This window comes from Homo sapiens, chromosome 17, assembly GCF_000001405.40.
Source record: "Homo sapiens chromosome 17, GRCh38.p14 Primary Assembly".
Classification (NCBI taxonomy): domain Eukaryota; kingdom Metazoa; phylum Chordata; class Mammalia; order Primates; family Hominidae; genus Homo; species Homo sapiens.
Window position 1 is genome coordinate 73528673 of NC_000017.11, and position 25341 is coordinate 73554013.

The window sequence follows — 25341 nt, forward strand, 5'->3', positions numbered from 1 at the left end:
CCATCTCTCTCCTGCTCTCTGTTGACTCTTTGACACTGCAGGGTCACCATCCAGTACAGCAGATCAATCTCTCTACGGCTCATCTGCTCCCACTGCATTTATCCCCTGATGGTCGAAGCTTTTATTTCCCGGTGAGAGGAGCGTCCCCTGGCCATCCCCAGGCACAGATAACTTACGGACCAATCAATACAGCCATTACCCTTTGGACCATGGCACCGACACAGGTGCAAGGAGCCAGGGGAGCAGGCCTCGCCCCTGCACCTCTGCCATCCTTGAGGTCCCTGAGCTCTGCCCAGCTTCTGCAGCTCCTTCTGGTGGCTCTCACAAGGTCTTCTCATTGTTGCCCCCTCTTCTGTCTTTCTTGAGTCCTCTTACACCATTTTGTCTACCTGAGCCTTCTGTAAATACCTCCTTTAGGGGCTTAGCTTTCTTTTCTGTCATATGGGGAAACTATTTCCTTGTCCAGAAGAAAGATGATTCTGGGAAGAGAGGAGGTGGTTTCGTCTGTAATGAGCGAAAAGCATGCATGAGTGGGAACCGGGGAGTCCTACAGTCAGTACCGAGGTTGGGGACAGCTGAGGGAGGACCAGGCTGGAAAACAGAGATTTCACTCGGGTCTGCCTCCACCACTGGAGGCTGGGAGACTTTGGAAAGGCCACCTTAGCCCTCTGTGCCTCAATTTTCTCATCTGAAATGGAGCTAGCACCGTCAATATGAAGAGTGGAATGATTATTAAACAAGGCAGGCTAGGATTATTAACAAGGCTGCCTTGTTAATAAACCATAGGCAAATTAGGTCAGGGCACTGGGTGGAGTAGCGTTCCCCAAAATTCATTTCCACTTGGAACCTCAGAATGGGACCTTAATTTGGAAATAGAGACCTTGCAGGTGTAATTCTTCCTGTTAAGATGAGGCCATACTGGATCAGAATGAGCCTTGAATCCAATGACTAGTGCCCTTACAAGAAGACCAGGTGAAGCCACAGAGACACACGGGGAAGATGACCATGGGAAGACAAAGGCAGAGATTGCAGCAATATATCCACAAGTCAAAGAGCACCAAGGGTTGCCGGCAAACACCAAAAGCTAGAGACAGGCATGGAACAGGTCCTCCCTCAGCACCTCCAGAAGGAACCCGCTGGGCTGACACCTTTACTTTGGATTTCTGTGCCCCAAAACTCTGAGATGATATATTTTTGTTACTTGAGCCACCCAGTTTGTGGTATTTGTTATGGCAGCCACAGGAAACACATAGAGTTGTTAACACGGTAGTGGGAGAGATGTCCTTAATGCAGGACCCATTCCTGCTGCCCAGTGGGGTTAAGTGAAATTCTCTATGGACATGGGCAAGGTGGAAGGAAGGGGGCAAAACTACCCTTCCACATCTTGCATTCCAGTCGAACCCATACCTGAAGAATGGGACAGCTAGCTTCTTTATGCTTTGCTCTAGCTTCTTGTCTCCTCTCTGGCAACTGTTTATGACAGTCCCCTCCTGCATTAGTCCATTTTCACACTGCTATAAAGATACTGCCTGAGACTGGGTAATTTATAAAGTGAAGAGGTTTAATTGACTCACAGTTCTGCATGGCTGGGGAGGCCGAGGGAAACTTACAATCATGGCAGAAGGCGAAGGGGAAGCAAGGCACGTCTTACATGGTAGCAGGAGAGAGAGAGAGTGCAGGGGAAACTACCAAACACTTATAAAATCATCCATCAGCTCTCATGAGAACTCCCTCACTATCATGAGAACAGCATGGGGGAAACCGTCCCCATGATCCAATCACCTCCCACAAAGTCCCTCCCTCGACACCTGGGGATTACAATTTGAGATGAGATTTCAGTGGAGACACAGAGCCAAACCATATCACCTCCCTAGGATCCACAGAACACCCTATATACAAGGACCCTATATACAATGGTAGGGGCTGTAAGCCCCTCGCAGGGGTGTAGCTTGTACTGCTGGTTGGGTGGGAGCAATGATGTCCAAATGGCACTACCACATGCATCCCTTTCACCTGGTCTTACAGTCTCAATTACCCCTGGCATTCTCCAACCTTCTCCCCATGATGGCCTTAACAAATGTCACGGCACCATGTTAATTTTCAGAAGGGAATCATTTTGAGCATCTATTAGTGAGAACAACCATGCCCCTTGTGGCCCCAGTAGAGCATCTAGCTACAAACCCATAGGAAAAGGGGACCCCGTCTGTGTTCTCTGACAAGGGGCATAAGACTCTCCCTAATCACCAGCCCTAGGGAGGCTTGAGGGATCTCTCTGGGGTGTCTGAATATGCCAGTCACTCACTTCCTGACTCTGTAACCCTGGTTTCCACCACCTTCTCCTAGTCCTCCTCCTTTTCCCGCCTTTCCTTCCCTGCCTTCCTCCTGTGGTTCTGAAATGTTGATGTTTCCAGCTTTCTGCTCCGATCTTCCTTGTTCCCACCCTCATCCCTTGGAAAGTACAGCTGCTTTTCTTTTCTGCTTTTAGCTATGGCCTGGATGTGAATGCCTCCCAGATCTTTAACCCTGATTTCTTGCCTGAATAAGTCAACTGTATTTTGATGACCTCCAACATGCTCAAAAGTTTAAAATATCCACAGCTGAGCTCTGGTCTCTGCAAGCTTGTAGAGGTACCGTAATTTTCTAATATACTTAGCGGTCTTGTTTGTACAGTCATCCAATCCAGAAATAACAGTGCCATCCTTGGATTCTTCTCTGCCCTTCCCCCACCTCTGACCACCCACTCACCCCCAGGCCCTGTGAGCCCAGCTGCCTGTTCCAGCTCTGGTGCATAACACGGCGTCTGGTCCACCGTTGGCATTCAATAAATATTTTCTGAACTAACAAATTAGTCCTGCTGGGTTCACCTGCTAAGTATTCCTTAAACTGGCAAGCCACCCCTGCCCCATCTCTGATCTAGATTCCATCTGCCAGGCCCTTATCGCCTCCCAGCCGCCAGTCATTAGCCCAATCTACTTAATTAAAGGTATTTCTAACCATGTGCTTCCTGTTCAAATTCCTTCAATGGCACTCCATTGCATACAGGATAAAATACTCCTCAATGGGGAACACATAGCTCTTTTTGTCACTGAACCAGAGACATGGTGGAAATTCTGGAAATACTGACTCCATGGAAGGGCTTAACAACTTGTGGTTTCCTCACAAACCACACACCCTTTCCCCCAGGCCTTCACTCCTGTCAATCCACTGCCTGATGCCTGCGGCCTGTGCCCACCCACCAGCTTCTCCTGGACACTGCCAGTCTAGCCCTAGAGTGGCTGAGGTGCCTGTACCTATCGGCGCCTTCTAATCTCCATCGTGGTGCATTACAATGATCTCTATGCATTCGTCTCTCTCTAGAGACCAGATGTTCTCAAGGGGGGGTCATTCTGTACTCCTGCCCCCAGCTCCCGGGGGACCCCTGGCGATGTCCGGAGATGTTTTTGGTCGTCACAACTGGAGGGAGGGGGATGTTATTAGTGTCTAGTGGGTAGAGGCCAGGCTAAATGTCCTACAATGGACAGGACAGCCCCCCCACCCACCCCCAACCAAGAACGATCCAGCACGGAATGTCAACTGTGCTGAGGCTGAGAAACTCTGGGCTAGACAGGAGCAAGTTCCCTGTCTGTCCATTCCCACCTCCAGGGCCTTGCCTTGACCCTGCCACGCAGTAGGCCCGCATCGTGTGTCTGCTGAGTGAACATCCCCACACTCCACCCCAGGCCTAGAGTGAAATTGGATCACTTCTTCTGCAAACAGGAGGCCTGGGCTGCGAAGAAAAGGTGCCAGCTGCCTCCCAGGCCCCAGAGTCAGGTGGCAGGGGAGGAGGCTAAGGAGAGTACTGTCCTTCAGAGAGAGCCACTTCCTCCAGGAGCCAGGGCGGATGCAACCAATTTAGCTAACAAGTTGTCAGGGCTGTGATGACGTTGCCAGACAATGAAATCGCCCTTCTTATCAACATGGACTGCCAGACTGATGAGACAAACAAGCCTGTTAATTAGGCCTGTAATGGCAGCTGCAAAGGGTACAACATTTCCAAGGAAACGGGGGGGCTGGAGGCTCTCTCTTGTCCCACCAGAGGTGGGGCATGCAGCGGGGCTTAGTTGCATCCCAGACAGGAAGGAAGGCTCATCTCACCGTGGCCATGGCCCCACGAGGCCTGGGCCTGAAAGGGTGGTTAGTGTGTCTGTCTTCAGTCACAGGCTTCCCAGGGGCAGGGCACAGCGCAGTTAACTCTATTGTGGCCCTCGGCACAGCGGTTTACCCAGACAGGCACTTAATAAAGGCATTTAATAAAGATGAGTATAAACATCAAAGGGCCCCTCTCCCCTTTCAGGATCCATCTTTCTCTCTCTTCCTCTCCAGCCGTTCCTTGGATGCCCATCTTGCTCCTGCCTTTCTCAGAGTCTCTCTGTCCAGCCCTCTGTGTAACCCTCATGCCCCTACGGGACGCAGGCAGTGCAGCGCTCCATCAAGCAAGGCCCAGAGAGGTCCCCTCATCGGTATCCCCTTCGGCTGGTATGTGTTGGCGGGATGTGCCAGTCACTGCCTCCTGACCCCATTCCTCAGCATCCCTGGTCCCGCAGCCAAGGACACAGGTGGGCGTGCAGCCAGGCCACACTCTGGGGCCCCGGGGCCGACTGGCACGGTGGCTTGGCCTGGATTCAGAGGCAGGCTGCCGAGCCTGGAGGAATGACATCCTCAGAGCTGGCGGGCACATCCCCTGGCAGTCTGTCTGGTCATTGGGCAGTGGCCAGCCACACAGGTTTGTGTCCCAGCAAGAGTGCAAACAGTCTGGGACACCCCACGTCCCTGGACACAGGCCCTGAGGCCCTCTAGGGGAAACGCCTAGCTCCAGATCATCACTACTGCCCACCATCACTTCCCTGGCACAGGGAGGTCCTCTCCACCTCCAAGACTCAGGTTCCAAAACGCTCTGTGCTGCCACTTGGACCACACTCAGCTACAGATGGGCCAGCAAGGCTCCCAGAAAGGGCCCTCCCCCAGCCCCCCACCCCCCCACCCCCCCAGACAAATTGGGGAACCCACTTGGGCATCACCAGCACCTTTCTTGCAGCTCTCTCTGTCTTCGCCAGGTTCCCTGTCACCAGCAGGCCCCTTCAGCCTGCCCTCCAGCTCCTTCAAGGAAGTGTCTCTTTGAGACTCTGCCCCCAAAGAAGGGTCATTATTGCTAATGCCTTTTCTCCCCCATCTGTTGTGATTGTTTACACTCCACTTGCTAATTAGAGACTAATTAGCTGGTGCTGAAATTCATCACTTTCCAAACACAATGCGGCAGCAGGAAAAGCACAGTGATGCGGCAACATCTGCACCTCCGCTTGCAGCCAAGACGCCATTCTGCTCCGCCTGCTCCCTGCTCCTCCTCCTCCTCCTCCTTCCCCGCCTCCTCCCCTCCTCTTCCTCCTCCTCCTTCCCACTCTCCTTCCAATAAGCCCCTAGAAGGCCTGGGGATGTCTGCACTTTTATTCAGCAACCACGGGACAATGCAGTGCAATGGCTGGTAGGAGAGACTCAGTACATCCTTGCTGAAGGAATGAATGCATGTGTAATGAACGAATGAGGATCAAAAAGCAGATGCAAGAGCGGGTCCGCTGCTGGGGGAAGGGGAGTGGCATTAAATAGCTGGCGGCAGGGAGACACAGCTGTCCATGATTCTGAGGAAGGTGGCACTGGGCAAGGCAGGGACCAGGAAAAAAGCATTCCTGGGACAGAGGCAGTGCTAAAGAGACGATTGCCGACAGATGCCTGACCTCTGAGAGGCCTGGGGGCTATGTGGGGGAAGGTTCAGGGACAGTGTGGGGGCTGGGAGAAAAGACAGACAGGAGGGAGGAGGAAGGAGAAGTAAAGTCACAAAAGGGAGGGATGGGAAGATGCACAGAGGCAGAGCGCGAGACCAGCAAGGCAGCAGGGAAGGCCGGTGGAGGGGAGGCAGAGGTCTTGGAGTGTTGGTGCTGGCTGGCTCTGGTGAGGAGGTGTGACTGCATCCTAGAGGTCTCTGCAGCCTGGGATTGAAACCATCCATTTGCCTGACAGCTGAGAGTGGAGTAGGCCTAGGCCCTGACCTTTCTTCCTCTCATCTAGGGGAAAGCGGCTTCTATTACCTAAACTCCCCTTCTTCTCAGTAGGCTGGGGGCAGCGGGCCGGGCTCCCTGGACTCCTTTGCATCTTCTAGGCCTCCTTGTGGGGATACTGGATACTCTGCGATCGGCCGATCAGCCCGCTACTGGGTCTAAGGAACCCAGGAGGAGGGAGGCAGCCTGAAACTCCAAGGGGCAGGTGGGGTCTCTAGCCCAGGCCTTGGTGCACAGTTTGAGAAGGAGCCCCCAGGACATCCTGGAATCTGGAGGAGAAAGAGTGGAACCTCTTCCCTGCCCATCTCATAGTGACATCCCAGAAGACACCGCCAATCCCCTATAGCCCTGACCAGGAAACCAAAGGTGGCCTCGACGCCAAGCCTCATCCATGTGTGAGGACAGCAGGGGGCTGCCCTCTCTTGTGAATAGGCTGCGTACATTTCCCATCCCACCTTCCTTGAGAGCAGGACTATGGGAGTCACAGCCACTCAGGTTGCAGTCCCCACTCTGCCACTTTGTGCTGTGTGGCTTAGAAGGCGCTGCATAACTTCTCTGAGCTCATCTGTCAAATGGGGATCTCCACCCTCCCTCCTGGTGTCGCTGACAGGAAAAATGACATGATGCCTTCATCTTAAGCATGGTGCCTGGTACTGGTGTGCATCTGCTGGGTGAATGGCGGGGTGGGGCATTCTGCAGTCCGGCTGCCTCCTGGGGAACATAGACTGTTTCCTTCTTCGCCTGTCTTGCTTCACATGCAACACGTGTGTGCTTATATGTGTGCTGGTGAACACTTAACATCCTGTTCCCCAGGAAATATAAAAAAGCCCTGATTGCCCACCATTGCCAATTTCCCTGGTGTAAATGCTCTAGCTGTGGCTGATTTGAAGCTATCAGTGGGACATCATGGGCTACGGATTGGGAAGAGAGGCACACAGTGAGCACCGGCTCTGGCACACCATTGCCTGCCATCACCAAAGTAGGGTGTGGAGCAGAAATCTCTCTATCCATGGATGTGGCTGGCAGGGGGCTGATTAGGAACCTGGGTGAGGTCAGTTGAGTTCCTGCCACACAAAGCTGCTTGGACCAGAGTGATCATTGTTCATGTGGGGAGAAGGCAGGGGGCGGCTGGGGGTGATGCATGCCCTCCATAAGGACCACGCCCACCCACCAAGCACATCCTTTCTTCCTAATTCCTCTGTTTCCTCCACGCCCACTCTGACACTTTTCCTTTTCTGATTTCACACATCTTAGAAACTCTTAGCTGGTTCCACGTGCTTTGCCTACACTAGCAAGCAAATCCCAATTTCCCCGCCCTGCAGTTCATGGACGAGACCACACCTGGGCTATATCAGCATCACCCAGAGGGCTTGTTAGACCACAGAGGTGCAGGGCCCCACTCACAGCCTTTAATATAGCAGGTCTGGGTGGGCCTGAGATTTGCATTTCTAGCAAGTTCTCAGGTGATGCTGCTGCCCTAGAGGCCATCCTTTAAGAACCCCTGGACCTGGATCAGCAAGCAGGTCACTGGGATCCAGACAGCTGCAGGCTGTGCTGTTGTGGAAGGTTTGGTGTTGGGAGTTCAGAGGCTCTTTTCCAGCCCCAGAAAAGCCTACGACTTACTTCCTTGTTGGCATTCCACCCCAACCCCTCTCCAGCCTCCTTCCGAGGCTTCCGCTGACCCCTGCACCTCTCTGCCATCTACACCCTCCAAACCCCCAGGCTGGGCCACCTGGGCACCTCCCACCTCTCTTTGTACCAGGGCTAGGTGTGCCGAAGCCTTTTCAGGCAAGGGGAGAGCTGACCAGGGGGGCCACACAGAGACAGCTGGGGCTGCTGGCTATTGTCCTAGAGGCAGCAGAACACGCTGCCCCCACGCCAGTGCGGGGGTCGCAAAATCACTCGTTGCTTTCCTTCTCCAAGGTTCCATGTGCAAGCAATGCACAACTAGTTTCTGCCTCACATCCCCTGGCCATGCTGGGGGCAGGTGACAAGGGTCCACTGGGGGCCTCTCTGAAGTTGGGGGGCTATAAAAGTGGTTCCAGAGGGTGAAGGAGACTGTAGCCCCGCCTCCTTCCCTACTCCGCCTTCCTGCTGATAGTCTAATCTCGGCCTCCTGAGTAACTAATCCCCCTAATGGGATCAACATCTCTGTCCCTGCACTTTACTTACATAATGGGTCAGGGAGGCCTTCCTCTAACCAGGTTGGAGGACCGCTGGGTGGAGGGGCAGGAGTGAGATCTGGGGTGCAGGAGCATTAGCTCACCCTGAGGCTTTGGGGACTGTGAGGATGGATCGTAGCATGGTGCTGGTTGGAGGTGGCGGCTCAGGATCACGACGCATGTGCGTGCGTGCGTGTGCGGGCGCGCATCATGTGTGACTGGGCGCTCAGTTAATACTCAGCCGCAGATATTAATCCCTTTCTATGCAAAGAGACGATGGATTGTGAGCCCTGAGAAATCAAAGTTGAAACTCAGCCAACCTCCTGCCCTGCTCGCCTTGCCCCTGCCAAATGGCCGCGTCTGTTAACGAGGGAGATAAACGGAGAGGCCATCAAAGCAGATTTCCAATCTGCCGATTTCGCTTTGGGGCCTTCAGAACTCGGTGGCTCACCTCCCCCTTCTGCCCCGACTCCAGCCTCCTCTGCCTTCGATTCCCACTTTGTTCCCCAGCCCCCATGCTTTTATCTCCCAAAGTTGGATCTATTGACCCAGCTCATAAGGGCTCCTTTCATCGGGCTCCAGAGCTGCTGATGGAGAGGCAGGCAGAGGGTGGAAGGGATGGAGAAGTGGGTTCTGCAGCCTGGAGGGTGGGGGCTGGGGAGAGGGGGAGGTTTGGGGGGATGAAGAGGTTGCCAAAGCAGACCGAAGCCTGTGTGGGTGGGGACGTGCCCAGCCTGGGATGTAGGAGGAGGCAGAAACCAACTCAGGGAGGGAGAATTGCCTGTAAGCAGGGGGAAGGAAGGCCCTTCTCAATGTGCCAATCTGATGGTGCATCTCCCGGCTGCATAGACTCAGATTCCCCACTTCAAATTCACTTTGCTCTTCTATTGTCTTGCCAGGAAGCAGCCTGAACCCATTCTTATGAGTGAAAATAAAAAATGACACCGCGGGAAAAATAACAAAACAGTTTCTCCATTCACAAACCCCCCAAAGGCTGAAAGAAAAGAGGATGAAGAGGGTGGAGGGGTCACCTGTGCACTGACCTGACCTGGAACACAGTACCCACTGATCCCTTCAAGGATGGGTGGTTTTATTTCCATTCTGCAGATGGTAGAGTGTGGATAGGTAACTTACAGCTGGTACCTGGGAGACAGACTTCTGACTCCCGGGAACGGCGGTGTTCACTGCACTTGGCCTGGCTGGAAAGGCTCAGTGAATATTTGTAGTAATAGCACAGACTCAGAAGCCAGACAGACTGACCTCCAGTAGGTGCCACGGTTGTGCTGATTTTATAGACAGGGAAACTGAGGCACAGATAGGTCAAGCAGCTTTCCAAAGCCACCCAGATAAAAATCAGCTGACCAGTCTCCTGGCTCCTGAGTCTGTACTCCAGCGGCTCCACCAGGCCTCTGATTTCTTCTTTGTTTGGACTCCCCTTACCAGCTTTCCCTGGCCTCCACCCATCTCTCTGTCTCCTTTTAAATGGATCATTTAGGGTCTTCTGCCAGAAACCCACCATGTGATGCTGGGGCCTCGGAGCCCTAACCCAGCCAGGACTCCGGCTTTAAAATGTGCAAGCATAGCTCTTTCAATAAATACAAAAATAAGTAAATTAAATGTGCACAGGTGACATTTGAAAAGATGAATGGATGAGCAAACCACCTCCTGGCCTCCGAATGAACAGAGTCAAACAACTTCTCGCCCACGCCTAGCCCACACTGGGGATTCGGGGAGGGAAGCTCTGGAGAAACATCATGATTCCTCTGGAAGCACCCACCTCTACCACATCAGGGTAGAGGAGAGGAAGAGGACAGAAAATCACATAAGCAGGCACCCAGTGTATGCCACAGCCATTTCGTCTCAGCCTGAAGAGGCTAGGAGTCCCACCTTGGCCTCAGTGTCAGCACTTTCTAGATGGGGCACCGACCAGTTAGAAGCAGAGTGGGCCTAGAAGCCAGGCCTCTGGACTCCCTTGCCTTGGGCCTAGGAGGTCACCCCATTGCTGCTCTAACCTTCAGGGCACTTAGTTTCTGAACCACCAGCTGTCCTTCTGATCTCCTTTGTAGACCCTGGGAGCATTCTGTAGAACATAGTGAGCCTCCCTCTAAGAGGAAGGGGGCAGGTGACCTCAGGAGAAGGCTGGAGAAAGGACAGGTGGAGTGGCCTTATCATGCTGCCCTGCCTCAGTTCCTTAGAAGTCCCCATCCCCAAAGAGAAGAGGAACCAGGCTATGTCCCACACCCCAAATCTCCCAAGGAACTAAGGAGAAGCTTTGGAGATGTTTCCTTGTCGCTTGAAATGTGTTTGGCCATCACTCACTGGACAGGCTGAGCAGGCCCCTTAAAGTGAAAAAACAACCATTAACGGGGACAGCCAGAAATCATTCGTCTGTCATCAAAGGGAAGTGAAGTCTGTGAGGGAGACAGCCTGGGAGCGCCGGGGCAGGGTCAGCGGGAAGGGAGAGATTAAACACCCAGCTGTACATCAGCCCTGCTCGGCTCAGCACAGCCAGGAGTGGGCAGAGGCCAGCAGGAGAGGGAGGGCCAGATGGGGACGCTGATGGGGAGAGGAGAGAGGGAGCTGGGGGGTGGTGGGGGGCAAAAGCACGGCTAGGGTTCAGGTCCAAGGACCCTTTGGTGAAAGCAAGTGACACAGCACCGGAGTCACATATGAAGCATTTTGCTTGGGTGGCAGCAAGAGCTTTGTTATGGGTAAAATTGAGTCCCACCAGAAGATACAGTGAAGCCCTCAGTCCTGGGACCTGTGAATGTGACCTTCTTTGAAAATATAGTCTTTGCAGAGGTAATCAAGTTAAGATGAGGTCACAAAGGTGGCCCCTAATACAATTTAACTGATGTCCTGAGAAGAAGAGAGAACGTGGGCAGAGACACACGGGGGGAATGCCATGTGATGACAGAGGCGGAGATGGAGTCATGCGGCTGTGAGCTGGGGTACCCAGGATGGGCGGCCCCCACCAGAGACGGGGTCATGCAGCTGTGGGCCACGGTACCCAGGATGGGCAGCCCCCACCAGAGACGGGGTCATGCAGCTGTGAGCCACGGTACCCAGGATGGGCAGCCCCCACCAGAGACGGGGTCATGCAGCTGTGAGCCACGGTACCCAGGATGGGCAGCCCCCAACAGAGACGGGGTCATGCAGCTGTGAGCCACGGTACCCAGGAGGAGCAGCCCCCACCAGAGACGGGGTCATGCAGCTGTGAACCACGGTACCCAGGATGGGCTGTCCCCACTGGAAGCTGGAAGAGGTGGGGAACGATTCTGCTCAGAGCCTCCGAGGGAGCAGGGCCCTGCTGAGGTCATATGTCCCATCCTCAGCATGGCAATAGAGTCTATTTCGGTGGTTCTAAGCCACTCAGCATGTGACTTTGTTACTGCAAATCCCAGGAGTGAATTCCATCCCTGACTTTATTCTCCAATAACACTGGAACTTTACACACACACACAGTCCCCAATATACTAAACATATTTCTTTGTGTCTAACGTCAATGCTTCTTGCTGTCGCAATGAGACTACTTTAGCTTCAGCAGGGTCTCTCATCACCGCTGTGATTCTCCTAACAGAATATGGGACTAGGTATGATATTTGCTATTAAACCCATAACATAATATATATATAATATACCCATTTTATAACTGAGGATAATGTTTATTTATTTATTGCTCCCACTTAAGCAAAACACTTCGTGCGTGACCCTGGTGCTATGTCACTTGCTTTCACCAAAAGGTCCTTGGGCCTCTTCCCATTTGATAAATGAGGAAACTGAGGCTAGCTAGGAGGGGTAACTGGGAGGACAACCATCAATTGGTAGGAGAGTCTCACATTTGGGCACCCATGCCAGTGACCTGTCTTCTGCCTCTCCCCTCGTGGGCTGTGGTTAATCTACCCCTAAGTCAGGCCCTACCCGGAAGGCAGGTGAGCACTTGACAGGAGATAAGTGGGTGGTCCAGAGTCTTCCCTGGGGCAGGAGCTGGGGCTAAGCCTGCAGAACCTCTGCCCTAGCCAGAGATAGAGGTGCTGAGTTGTGGCTACACCGTACACCCCAGCCTCCCCTACAGCACTTTCCTGGCAAATGTGGTCTCGGCCATCAAGCTGCCAATGGTAAGCTGCTAGGCCCCCTGAGAGTAGGTGTCTGCCAGTGTCTGCCCAGCCCCTAACATGGGGCACCCCTCCCGCTACTCCTGGCCAAAGTGGTATGAGCACCCTCAGAGCAGCTGTGAGGACAGCTCTGGCTGGGGAGAGGCAGCTGGGCCCCAGAGGGCTGGGGCAGCAGTGAAGGGAGGTGCCCGGGGGGCTGCAGGGGATGGGCTGCAGTGTGTGGAAAGAGCTGCCTGCCAGGAGCTCTCCACCCTTCTAAAAGGTGGACCAGGGCCAGAGCCAGGCTCTCCCTGCTGGTGGAGCGGATGTGGGGCATGGCTAATCCCCAAGCTGCAGATGACATCAGAAGGACCAAGGCTAGCTCGGGCAGCACACTTAGCACATGGGCGCCTTGCTGGGTGCTCCATCCCATCCCCTCTCAACATCCTCACCTCTATCTTAGCAGGGCAATACCGCACCACCCCCATTTCACAGACAAGGACCCCGAGATAGGTAGAGGGGTGAGTGCCCGTGGTCTACTTCATGGCGACTTCAAGGCCAGAGCTCGCCCCACCCTCCCTCCGTCTCTCCCTGCTGGCTCTTCATTTCTCGTGGCGTGTTTACCTTCCTGATTTTGCCTGCTTTTGTTTGGTTTGATATGAAAATGAGTTTGCCCAGAATGCACAGCGGCAGAAGGAAGGGGGCGCGGGGCGGAGTCACGCTGAGTGACAGGAATGTGCAGACGTTGAATTAAAAGCAGCTTGGCACAAACAGAATCCGGCTACGGAAAATTCAAAATGTATTTAGAGCCGAGTGGAAGATCCTCGTCAATCGGGCTCATGGTTTGGTGGAAACCACCTAGGCTGGGATGCAAGTCCAGGCCTGTTCTTGCCTGTGTGCCCTGAGGAGAGCCCCAAACCTCTCTGAGCCTGCCTCTTCTGCTGATAAACAGTGTCAATGGCATCTCTTTTACAGGAGTGTCGCGACAAGGATTAAATAAAACAGCATCTGTGAAGTGCGTGTTGCCAACTGCCAAGTGTCATACAATGGTGAGGTTGTATTTTTGGATTGTCTGCTTCCAGGGATGTCTAAAGTACCTGGGACTGGCCCATCTCATCACAGTGCAGGCAGTGCGCTGGCCCCAAGTCCCTCTCTGGGGGCTGTGCCTCTCTGTCTGACCCTCCACGCTTCCCATCCCTGGTGCCTTCTGAGGTGGGTTCCCAGGGACCAGCATGGCTGGGAGAACAAAACTGAGGTTGTGACTTGCCTGACAGCAGCAGGGGCAGCTTCTGGTGGGGATGGCTGCTCCTGTGATGGAGGGGGTGCTACAAGAGAGAGCAGGGGTCCTCCCATCTGTACGTGCCTGGAGCGACCCTGGCTTGGCCTCCTGGGTGCCTGTTGGTGGAGGGGGCTGGTGAAACAGCTCAGCAGGAATGAGGGAAACCTGCCACAAGCGAACTCCAGCCAGGGCCTGGTGGTGAGCAGCACAGGGCTCTCAATGAGCAGCCGGGCCTGGTAAGCAGCACAGTGGCCCTCCGTGAGCTGTGCCCTGCTGGGCAGGCTGGGCCTCCGTCCCCTCAACGAGGAGGGGTGGAGGCAGGGCAGGATTATGAGGCAGCAAGGGGAGAGGGAGGACCCAGGGGAAGGGCCAGCCACGGAGAGGCAGTAGTGGAGGGGTCTTGGGATTCGGGGCCTCTAGCAGGGCCAGGCTGGGAACCGAGGACACTTGGTCTCCCTCCCTGGGCCTGCAACAGGCCTGAAATTCATGCCATTTGGTGGCCCTCTTTAAGAACACAAAATATCAAATATAAAATTAGGTGCCAAAGTCCGGAAAGGGCAGGAGATTCCCGGAAATGACTGCAGTCCCACAAGCACCCAGAAGTGAGGACATTCATAAGACACCCTCCCCTAGGCCCTGGAGAGCGAGACTCGGATCTGGGGAGATTGGTGTGAGTCCTGGGATGGGGGCCACACAAGTTCTAGGCCACGCCCCCTCTGCAGCATAGGCAGGTCCCCTCCAGGGCGCAGTTTCCTCATCTGCAAAAGAGGGGATGGGAGAGGGGAATCTGAAGGTCTTTCCCAGCTGTCATTTGTTCATTGCTTCTGGGATTTTATGAATAGGGATGAGTGACCGGCAGCCTTCCATTTACTGGGGGCACTCAGCTCCCTGCCCTCTCATCCAGGATGTGAGGACTCCAGAAGGGCTGGGGAGGGGAGGAGGAGGAGAGGCTGGAGTGGGATGGCCTGCCCTCCCTGGGGTTGAGGCAGTGATGGTGCCCGCACCCTCGCAGGTGTGGTGTGTGTGGGGCTGTCCTTCCGATGTCCTCAAAGAAGGCACACCAGGGCAGGTGCCATGCCGCTCATATCCCCTGGGAAAAGATTCCCCACTCTGAGGACAGGTGTGTGGCACAGCCCATCCCTATTCCTCCATGTGCAGATGCAGAGTCTATGTAAGCGACAGCCCAATGATTGCTTCCTCCTCCCACCAGACAGAGAACCACTCTTCAGAGGAAAATATCACCTTCCCCAGACTCTTCCGGCAATCGACACAGGAGTTATTAACACAAGGGATGTGGGCTGGGCAAGTGCACCTTGATGCAGATGTGGCCGTGAGTCTGAGCCCAAGAAGAGCCACTGGCCCAGGTTGGTGCATGGGCACTGCCCTTGGGGGATAGGGGCAGGCCAGCCTCCCACCCTCTTCCAGAGTCCAGCCTGACCAGCTTCCAACTAGGAGAGGCACAAGGGCCAGGCCCGCCCTCCAGGAATCCCAAGGTGCAGGGGGAGAGGCAGCTTCTGTCCCTGGGTGATGCCGCTCTACAAGTGTGAACTGAGTGCCTCCTGGGTGAGGCCACCCATGGGTCCCAGACACTCATCACGGGGAAGAGGCAGTCACTCAGAGAGAGATGCAAGTGCTCTGAAACTGCAGGCAGAGGGACATCTAGGGGACACCAGGAGAGCTCCACAGACAAAGTCACCCTTCAGCATGGTCTTGAAGATGAGTGGAAATGAGGTAACGTGAGCACAGCATGTTTGGGACACAGGAGATAGTTTCACGTGGCCAAAAGTCAGGGCACCTGGAGGCAAGGAGATGCTAAAGGTTTATCCCATAATGACGGTCCCCTGTATGTACAAAGAGGCTTTCCACATCCTTTGCCTTCGAGGGACTCACTTAAACTCCCACAACAAACTGTGAAGCTGGCCTGGCCCTGTCATCCTCAGGTTGCAGCTTCAGTGACTTCCTTCAGGAAACCTTCCTGGACTCCCCAGTGGATGGGCTGGGGTCTGCCATGTTGTTCTCATAGTTCCTCCTCTTCACAGCATCATCACTGCCATTCCCTTGCCTGTCTCCCCACCCGCACTGAGCTCCGTGAGGACAGGGACTTGCCTGGCACATTGATCTTTGTGTCACCGTCAAAGTCTGCAATGGGATCTGGCAGAAAGAAGATACTCCACTTATTGGATGGAGGAGTGGATGGATGGATGGAAAGAAGGAAAGACAAACGGACAGATGAATAGATGGATAAACAGATGGATGGATGAATATGTGTATGTATGCATGTGTGTATGGATGGACAGAATGGATACATGGACAGATGGATAATGGATGGATGGATGGATAGTGGATGGATGGTTGAGATACCTAGCAGTCCCAGATTCAAGTCGCATCATGTCAAGAATCACCTCAGAAAGCATCTAACTTAACCTCTTCATTTCACAGGGAGGAAACAGATCATGGAGGGGAAATGGCTTCCATGACACTTTTGAGGGGAACAAGGGAGCAGCAGGGGTCAGAGCTCGGGTGTGCAGCACCCATGCCAGGACCTGCTGTTCATCCAGGCTGCTGGGGCGGCAGGTCCTTCACCATCAGGAGTGAATTACAGATCTCAGGTCACTGGGACCTCAACCATTCCCTGGACCTGTCTTCTGCAGAGACAGGCCTCCCAAGCACACCCCCTTGTCAAGGCTCTTTCTTCCTTGGGCCTCCACTCCTTCTTCCTTGGGCCCCCTCCTGTTGCATTTTAAAGATTTTCATAGTATGTGGTTTTGCCTAATAAAGCATTCTCATTGCGTGCACGTGCACGCACACACACACACACACACACACACACAAAGTGGAGGCTCAAGGAAGAAGGCCACCTTGGGGGCTGTGGCCTCTGTATCTTGTTGGGGTTCCCCTCCCCTGGAAATCCCTTCCTTTAGGGAGTGAACTGCAGGGAGCTTGCCCCTGCTGGACTCGCTCAACCCCGCCCTGCTTCTTCCCCAGCTGCCGAGCCTGCCGCCCTGCTTCTGACCCACCCCTACTGTATGTGGTTCGGGTCCCATGGCAGGAGGGGGACCCTGTGGAGAGTGATTGTGTCGCCACCTCAGTGAGACTTTCTTCCTAAATAAATGAATGCACACACACACGAGCTACTTGAGAGACACCGGTGGTAGGGGTTAGAGATGAGGGGGTTGAGGGGAAATGTGCAAGAACAAGGGAAGGGAGAGAAGGGGTGCGTTTGAGCTAAACATGCCCTGCCGCAAGCAGGCAAAGGGACCGGAAACAGAGGAGTCCCCATCCCCACCCACCACTGCCTGGGGCCTCAGAAGGCGGATCACAAACATCACACTGGGAGGTTGGGGGACAGCACCGCCATTTCCAGCTGCTCCTCCAACCAGATTAAGGCCAATTAATTGAAGACCCCACTGAGCTGGATGATACAACCATCAGCTACTCTCAGGAGGGTGACCCAGCGCTGCAAGGCTGCCCTGGGATGCCCCGCCTGTCTGTCCAGGACTGGTTCTGGTCTCATTCTTCCACCAACCTCACAGTGTGCCTGGGGCCTGGGAGAGGGTCTCTGAGGCGGCTGGGGTCAGTTCCTCCTCTGCCTCTCAGGACTGGGTTGGATCAGACAAGTTAGGAGGTGGCCAGGGTGTGGAACAGGTAGGCTGTAGAGCAAGGAGGCTTGTGCAACCCGGGACTCAGATGAGGCCAATCCCTACATAGACTCAGACCCCAGGGCTCAAAAGATGGGACTGGGGAGGGGCTGGGGAAAAGACACCAGAAAGGCTTTTCAGGAAAGTGTTGGGGGAAGGAGTGCTGTCGGGGGCGGGGGGTGAGGAGAGGCAGAGAGAGAGATGGGAAGCCTGGACCCACCCCAGCTGCCCCCTCCGCCTTTCTCCCCTCCCTGAAGGTGCCAGGGCAGGCGGAGGCAGAGTTCAGACCTGCCCTCTCTCCTGTGCAGGCGGATGCAGGCGGAGGAGGAAAGAATCAATTAGTTCATTAGCTGACACGTCTGTGAACATGGCTCCCGGGACTTGACGGGCCTGGCGGCCAGTGGTGGTTTAATAGGCACTTTTGCTCTGAAATGATACCTGGGCCAGCAGCTTCTGCCACAGCACGGGGCTCGCTTAAAGAGGAGGGAGCCGCAGGCAGGGCAGAGAAAGCAGGAGAATGTGGAACAGCCTTGGCCAGAGAAGGGAAGGGCCCCCACCCCCAGTCACTAGGCAGGCCACACTGCAGCCCAGTCACCACACAGGCCACACTGCCTCCTCTCTGGCTGACCAGAGGGAGCAAGGTGTCTGGGCAAGGTCCCTCTCAGGCCTGCCTGGGGCCATGGCCTGGACTGGGCAGCAGGTGTGGCTCAGAGACCCCTGGCATGGTGGTGGGGAGACCTCGCTTCCTGTCTCTGGGTCTTGGGGCCCTTGTGGGTCTGTGGAGTGACCTGGCCAGGTGACCCATAAGTCCCTTTCAGTTCTGACATGGCAAGATCTATGATCTGTTGGGGAAGGTACATTTCAGAATAAGCAGACTGATTTTTCAAATGCCCAACCACTCAAGTTATCAGGGTCTTGAGAACAGGACGGCTCAGAGAGGTGCAGGGATGGTACAGACAGGTGCAGAGCTGGGATGCAAACTCAGATTCCCTGGAACCCCCAGTCTGCACTCTTAGCCACGTCCTTGTGCTGTCCTGCCGTGACACTGGGAAAGCCGGACTTGACTCTGGAGCCAGGCACTGATCCAGGTGCTTCCCTCCCTCCTCTGTATGCATCCCCCTGAGTCAGGGTGGTTGGTCCTAGCCTGCCCTGCCTAGGGCATCTGGTCTGGCTTTAGCCAAGTCTCCTCTTTTGGACACAGCTGCAAGTGATATAGTCAGTGTCTCACAGAGTCCACGCCCTCCAGGCCTAGGCATGTTGCAAGGCTCTAAGCCACGCCCCCTCTGCAGGGCAGGCAGGTCTCTAGGGCTCAACTTCCTCATCTGCAACTCAGGGGATGGGAGAGGGGAGCCTAAAGGTCCTTCCATGCTGTTATTCGTTTATTGCTTCTGTGATTTTATGAATAGGGATGAGTGACCTGCAGCCTTTGATTTACTGAAGACACGGAGGCTTTGGGCTTGGATTGGGTAAAAGGCTCTGAAGCTAGACCAACCACTGTGCCCAGGGACAGGACGAACCTCTCTGTGCTGCATGTACGTTGCCAGCTCAATAGGGCTGGTCTGCAGCAAGGAAGCCACCGAAGGGTACAGATCGGGGGATGGGGACAGCGGAGGCTCAGCAAGTCCTGTGTCCCATTCCCCACCTCCCAATAGGGCCTGTCTGTACCACCCCAGATAGGGTAGAGACACCATGAAGATGTTCAGAAGGTCCTCAATGGTCTCCTTCAAGCTCTTGGTCAGAAGGGAGGGAGGGCAAAGGAAAAAGTCTGTTTTGAGCAGTTCAGGGGGTCCGGGGCTGTGCTGGATGCTTTTTAGATTTTTGATCTCATTTGATCAGATCTGCTGAAGTGTTCTTAATGGCTGTGTTAGTCCATTCTCATAATGCTATAAAGAACTACCTGAGACTGGGTAATTTACAAAGAAAAGAGGTTTAATTGACTCACAGTTCCGCAGGCTTACTAGGAAGCATGGCTGCGAGGCCTCAGGAAACTTACAATCATGGCAGAAGGCAAAGGGGAAGAAGCAAGCATGTCTTACCATGGCAGAGCAGGAGAGAGAGAGATGGGGAAGTGCCACACACTTTTAAATCTTCAGATCTTGTGAGAACTCACTATTACGAGAACGGCGTGATCCAATCACCTCCCACCAGGCCCCCCACCTTTAACACGTGGGGATTACAATTCCACATGAGATTTAAGTGAGGACACAGAGCCAAACCCTATCAATGGCCCAATTTACAGATTGAGGAAACTGAGGTTGAGAGGTTAAGTCACACGCTAATGTCACGGGGCTAGGAAGTGGCAGTGGTGGCATTCAATCTTGGGACACATGCCCTTTCTGCTGCCCTGCAGCTTGGAGAATTCTAGTGCTGCAGCTGTTGGGAGAGAGAGGATTCTGTCACCCAGCTGGTGGTGCGACCTGTGCCTCCAGAAACCCTCTTCCCTATCCCCCCTGCCCCCGAGTGGGTCCTCCTGTCCACACAGCATCAAACCCTGCTTTCCTGCTGCTCTCTAAGCTCCCCCTGCAGCTTCCTAGGCACAGGATGATTATTCCTCCTGGGGTGGGGGACAGATAATCCTGATCCCATTTGTGGGACACAGAAACCGATGCCAAGGTCCAACTGGCACAGAAGCTGGGAGCACTGGGCTTCCTCTGCAGACCAAGCTTGCTGGGGTTCCCAGTGGCCTAGCTTTTGATGCCCAGAGGGCAGTGTGCCCTGCTCCCAGGAGGCCCTGGATAGCCTGTCTCCTCCCTGGGGAGGAAATGACCTTGGGCACTGCCCAGTCCTTGCACACTGTCTGGGGGAAGTAGAGGGGGAGGAAATCAGGCTTCTCTCTCACCAACCAGGCTCTGCATGGTGGGGGGCCTTGGGCCTGCACACTTAAGCTTGCTGCTATCCCACGGAGGGCAGCTGGAAGGTGGCTTCCCTGGGGCCCAGCCCAGCCTCCTTCTGGCCCCAGTTACTCTCTCAGACACCCCAAGATGCGTCATCCATGCCAGCCGCTGAAGCTGTCAGCTCTCTCCTTCTCAGCACCACTCAGAGTCTCAATGACAACCCCGGCTGCCTCCTGAAGAGACACGTCAAGGACTCCTGTCCAAATGACGCCATCAGCCTTCCCGTTGTTGGCCGAGGTGCTGGGCACCAGCAGCCCCCACCCTGGCCCTGTTGCTGGCTGATAAAGGAACAATTTCCCTGCGAAGGAAAAACGTAGCAAGCAGCAATTTTCATTCATGAGAAAGCTCTTAGGCAGGCAGAGAAGCCGGAGTGAGGAGCAGGGAGGAGTAGAAGGAGAGAGGAGTGGGAAGAGAGGAGGCAATTGCCTCCTCCTGGCAGCCCTCCTTGATTGTTGAGCAGCTGCCAGCCACCTGGGCTGCTCACTGTTGAAGAAAGCTTCCCATCACTTCCTCATGACTCAAAGCTCTGCAGGTACTCTTTGCCCTTTAGCTTGTACCTGATTAATTAATTTTCAGTTAAGTGATTTGATCCGTCATCCATTCACCCAAAAACCATTCCTGGAGCACCTGGCATGTGCTGGGAATCGCAAACAAAGATTCAGCCCTTGCCCTCAAGTTGCTCATAGACCAACTGAAGAGGAAGTCTTGGTAAGGTGTCATGCTATGGGGGAAGTAGATGGGGCTGGATGGGTCAGGGAAGGCTTCCCGGAAGAGGGAGTGTCTAAGTCAAGCCCTGAAGGATGGATGGGAGTCAGCCAAGCAGAGATGGGGGCAAGTTTTAGGCGAGGTGAACACACAAACAGCAACCCGGTCAGACAGAATGCGGCAGGTCCCATCAGCCACAGTGTGTGGGAGAGGGGATGGGGGGCAGAGACAAGGAGAGGGGTGAGAGCGGGGCTCAAGATGTGAGCGAGGTGGCATGATGAGAGGCACTGAAGGGTTTCAGCAGCAACAGATCAGATTTCTGTAACAGAAAGATCACTCTGGCTGCAACGTAGTGGGGAACGCCAAGTGGGACCTGGTCATAACCAGGTGGAGGGGTGGTGGTGACCAGAATCTGGAATGAGACTGTGGGTGAGGACCGCCGGGGGTGCATAGAGGCAGATGCATGCAAGACACTAATGCACCCCTCCCGCTGCTCTGCACTGTGTCCCGGGGGCACTGAGCCCCGGGTTTCTCCCTCTGGTTGCACCAGCCAGGCCCCCTCCCTACCTGCCCCTTTCCTGCATGGCAGGTCTAGTGCTCCTGACTGTTTCCAGGTCAGGTTGAGCTGGCCTGGCTTGGAAATATGCTTGATGGAGTTCTAAGCCTGCTGCAGCAGGGGGCCAGGGGTCAGGGAGGTGGCAGACTGCCAAGGTAGGAGCCTCTGGTTCTCCCCGGCCTCCTAGCGACTCTGCTCTAGGGTTAACGGTTCTGAAATATATGCTGCTTAATGCTACGTCCCCAGGAAGGGACCCCTAACCTGCTAGCCCTTTGTCCCGCTGGGAAAATAGCTCAATTACTGCCAAAATGAGAAGCTGTCCTGGGGTGGATGAAGTAGCACCAAAGGATAATTAGAATGGGCTGGACATGAGCAGCCACTTGTTTGGAAAGGTGGAGGGCCACGACACAGAGACCCTGGGTGGCGGGGGAGTCAGGGTGGCGGTGGAAGGGCAGGAGGGACCCAAGGAAGCCACAGAGCTTTTGACCGTCTCCCATTCCCCCACCCCTACCCTGCAGCTTCCTGCCACACGTCTCTTCCTGGGATGTTAAGGAGGCTGGCATGGAGTCAGAGTCCACTCAAGAAAGCAGAAACTACTGGCTATACTCGCACAGAAGGAATTTGCTACAGGGAACTGGTTGCAGGTGATAATCAGCGAGAAGCCCAGCGGGGGACAGTGAGGTAACCCAGAGATCGGTGACACAAGAGGCCTCTACCATCCCTAGGCCGGAGGGGTCCAGGGAGGAAGTGAGGTTGCTGGATCCCAGGGCGAGTCACCCGTCCACAGGGAGCTGGAGTCATGAGCCAAACGCAGCTGCTCATGGAAGCCAGTGGAGGCAGGAGGGAAGGGAGAGACCCCAGCTTCTCTCCCTTGCCTACCTCCTGTCTCCTGTCAGTGCTTCCCACTGGCCAAGCCTAACCTGAAGCCAGCTGACCGGGGAGCCTGGGAAGCCAGGAAGACAGCCACCTGTGATACAGGACAGAGCAGAGGCAGGACAAGGAAAGGACCTGAGAGGTCACAGCCCACGAAGGACACAGTGGGTCGAGGTGGTAGCCTGAAGCCACAAAGCACGCTAGCCGGGGACTCCACGCGCACCTTGTCTTCCCTCCCACACTGTTGGGTGATGGCGGCCGGCTCCCCATCAGCTTCTGGTGCCTTCGTGATAAATGCCCACACGCTCCCACCCCAGCCCGATTCATCAAGCTCCCCGTGGCACGTTGCATGGCCAGAGACCTTGCCCACCAGGAGCTTAATCTCCCAGACAAAGAACAGAAACGCGGCCTGGGCCAGAGACATATAACATGTTGCCGGGAGTCACTGACGGTCTAAGTGAGCCCAGGAGCCTCGCAGCTCCTGCCAGGAATGGGGAGGGGGCGGAGCGGCCGAGGCCTTCGGTTTTCTCCCTCCTTCCATCTCTGGTGTCAGGGGTGACTTGGAAAGGATACCCCAAGTTTCTCTAGGCCATTCTTCCACCTTTTTCTCAACCTAACCCCTCCTGGACCAAGCAGGCTCTAATACAGCTGTTCCTTTCTCCTTCCCTCCCCTCCTTCCTTAACATGGATTAAAAGCCTCCAACACACTGTTTGCTATGGACGCTGTGGATGCCATAGCGAGCAAGACAGGCCTGGTCCCTGCCCTCACGGTGCTTACACACGCAGAGCTTCTGCAACCTTCCCTAGTTGTCCCCCTAAGGGCAGGGGGACCTTCAGACCACCCCACCCCGCTGCTTTCCAAACTCAGCTTCCAAGAGGAAGCTGAGACCCAGTCCATCTGGAGACCCAACTCCAGGCTTCCCTTCTGTCTCCAACCCCTTTTGAGTAAAAAGAGGGTCAGAGAGGAGAGGGCACTAGATTCAGGGGGCTGTGATTGGCTGCCACCAGACTGATAGATGGGTGAAGAGACCAACCAAGACTGTGGGACAGCCAGGGTGGCAAGGCAACCTAGAGTCAGGCAGGTGCCGCTGCAGTCCCCACCGCCTGCCCCCCACCCCTCGGCCAGCCTGTCCCCCCTGTCTGGGGCCCAGCTCTAAATCTCTCTGACATAAAATATTGTCGGAGAGCCACAGCACAGAGAGATTAAAAAACAATAAAGAGAAAGCGAAACTCTCGTCTATAATTACCAGCCTCTAGCCGGCAGCAGCAGAAACGCACTAAAATTTTAATAGGAACCACTGCATTTAATTTAACGACACATTTTTTCAATTACCAGAATAATTGTCTTATTCATAAAATGAGTTTCAATAAAGAGGGTAATTTTCCTTTGTTTTTATTATTCATTTGTGAAACATATTTGAGATAGAACCCCCTCATGTTAAGGCAGCTTGGCGAGGACGCATGACATCTGTGTCACGCATTGAAACTGGAGTGGCGCAGGGGACCCTCCTGAGGGGGTGGCCGTCCACATTGCCAGCTGATGGCCGAGCGGTCAGTGGTCGAGGCGCAGGTCTGAGTGTACTCGGCCGGAGTACCCATCATGAGCCACTTAGATTAGCTTCTCGGCACTCAAGAAGTACGTACGAGCATCACGCCCACTTGAGCTATGAGAAACTGAGGCATAAATGGGTTAAGTCACTTGGCAGGATACGGGGGAACAGGATTTGAGCCCGGCCAGGCTGACTGCAGAGCTTGAGGACGGTGCTACTACCCTGCCAATGGACCCCGCTGTAGGCTGCTTCCCAGACGAAGTTCCCTAAGCGACTTCATCTTTGAACCAACTCATTTGCACTTCTCGCTCTGGCTTCGTTTACACTGCACTCTAAGCCCTCTCCTTGGCAAGTTCTCAACTCGAGAGCCCTTGCCCTGAGCCTCTGGCTGGCGCTCAGAGATGGGATGAACTGTTTGGAGAGGAGCCGTAGAGGAGAGGCTCAGACCCGTTTGGGTTCTGGGTTCCTCGAGCACCCTAATCCCAACCCTTTGGGATTGGCTGCAGCTCCCAGGTAGGGCAGACGGCTGCAGCGTCACGCTGCTTCTCTGGATGGATGAATGCAAAGGCAGAGGCTTCTGTGGGGGCTGGGAGGGAAGGGCCAGAGGGAGCTCTTGGCCCCACTCTGGGCATGGAGGTGGCCTTGAGCATGGAAGCACCTTCTGGGGTGTGTGTGTGTTCTGAATACCATCAGAGGCAAGAGGCAGAGATGGGGCAGGACAGGCCACGGGGGGCCAGTGGTGGGAGCCCAAGGCTGCCTCCAGTAGGGAAATTGATATTGATAGACCATTCTCACTGTCAAGGGCTTTGAGCCAGGACTTACTGCCTATTTAATACCAGGGTCTCCATAGTGACCCTGGAAGGTGGATGTTATTATCCCCTTGGTAAAGATGACAAAACTGAGGCCTCAAGAGATCAAACAAGTCCTGCCCAAAGTCACTGGGCCAGTGAGCAGCCCAGTGGTGAGTCACCCCCAAGCCCTGCCGGCTGCACCTATTCCTATGATGGTGTTTCCTGCAGGGAGCTGCCCTCTCAGAAGCCAGGATAGCACAAGGAAGGACAGGGGGGGACAGAGAGGTTTGAGGCCCAGGGTCACCCCTGAGCCACTACCTGGCCACAGCCTCCATCCCACCTGCAATCTCCTTCCTCGGGCCTACACCTCCTGCAGGTGAATAGCACCACCCCCAAACCCCCACCCTTGTTACAGCATAGCCTTCACCCAGGGATGCCAGTCACCCCCTTCCTGAGGAGGTGCTGGCAGAGGGGGCATGACCAGCTCCAGCCTGAGCCTCAGATTCCCTTCAGGCTTTTTGGGCATAAGATTGGATGCAGGAGTGGTGGTTTCCCTACTCCCTCCCTAGGTATAAATCTGGCCTGCAGAAGACCTCTTCAAGGGGAGATACCTAGCAGCCCCAACACATCCCCCTGAAGCCCTGGCTTCTTCCCATTGAGGAGAGGACAGGAGCATGGAGGGAGGGTTACTAGGGGAGCTGGGGCCCTGA

The 25341-nt window shown here is 54.8% G+C and overlaps 1 protein-coding gene across 5 annotated transcripts in view, besides 6 other annotated features; it reads right to left on the bottom strand.

Moving 5' to 3' along the window:
- SDK2 (sidekick cell adhesion molecule 2) overlaps positions 1-25341 on the bottom strand; it is a 310062-nt gene that overhangs the window by 194289 nt on the left and 90432 nt on the right. The gene's annotated exons all lie outside the window — the stretch shown is intronic.
- Positions 5914-6626: an enhancer, noted in NCBI's record as "H3K4me1 hESC enhancer chr17:71530725-71531437 (GRCh37/hg19 assembly coordinates)". NCBI's record gives its function as "activates a minimal SCP1, AML or CMV promoter by ChIP-STARR-seq in naive H9 embryonic stem cells {active_cell/tissue: H9 hESC(naive)}" and the evidence as "EXISTENCE:reporter gene assay evidence [ECO:0000049][PMID:30033119]".
- Positions 8194-8966: an enhancer, noted in NCBI's record as "H3K27ac-H3K4me1 hESC enhancer chr17:71533005-71533777 (GRCh37/hg19 assembly coordinates)". NCBI's record gives its function as "activates a minimal SCP1, AML or CMV promoter by ChIP-STARR-seq in primed H9 embryonic stem cells {active_cell/tissue: H9 hESC(primed)}" and the evidence as "EXISTENCE:reporter gene assay evidence [ECO:0000049][PMID:30033119]".
- Positions 12088-12652: an enhancer, noted in NCBI's record as "H3K4me1 hESC enhancer chr17:71536899-71537463 (GRCh37/hg19 assembly coordinates)". NCBI's record gives its function as "activates a minimal SCP1, AML or CMV promoter by ChIP-STARR-seq in naive H9 embryonic stem cells {active_cell/tissue: H9 hESC(naive)}" and the evidence as "EXISTENCE:reporter gene assay evidence [ECO:0000049][PMID:30033119]".
- Positions 17545-18081: an enhancer, noted in NCBI's record as "H3K4me1 hESC enhancer chr17:71542356-71542892 (GRCh37/hg19 assembly coordinates)". NCBI's record gives its function as "activates a minimal SCP1, AML or CMV promoter by ChIP-STARR-seq in primed H9 embryonic stem cells {active_cell/tissue: H9 hESC(primed)}" and the evidence as "EXISTENCE:reporter gene assay evidence [ECO:0000049][PMID:30033119]".
- Positions 19649-20149: an enhancer, noted in NCBI's record as "H3K4me1 hESC enhancer chr17:71544460-71544960 (GRCh37/hg19 assembly coordinates)". NCBI's record gives its function as "activates a minimal SCP1, AML or CMV promoter by ChIP-STARR-seq in naive H9 embryonic stem cells {active_cell/tissue: H9 hESC(naive)}" and the evidence as "EXISTENCE:reporter gene assay evidence [ECO:0000049][PMID:30033119]".
- Positions 20150-20650: an enhancer, noted in NCBI's record as "H3K4me1 hESC enhancer chr17:71544961-71545461 (GRCh37/hg19 assembly coordinates)". NCBI's record gives its function as "activates a minimal SCP1, AML or CMV promoter by ChIP-STARR-seq in naive H9 embryonic stem cells {active_cell/tissue: H9 hESC(naive)}" and the evidence as "EXISTENCE:reporter gene assay evidence [ECO:0000049][PMID:30033119]".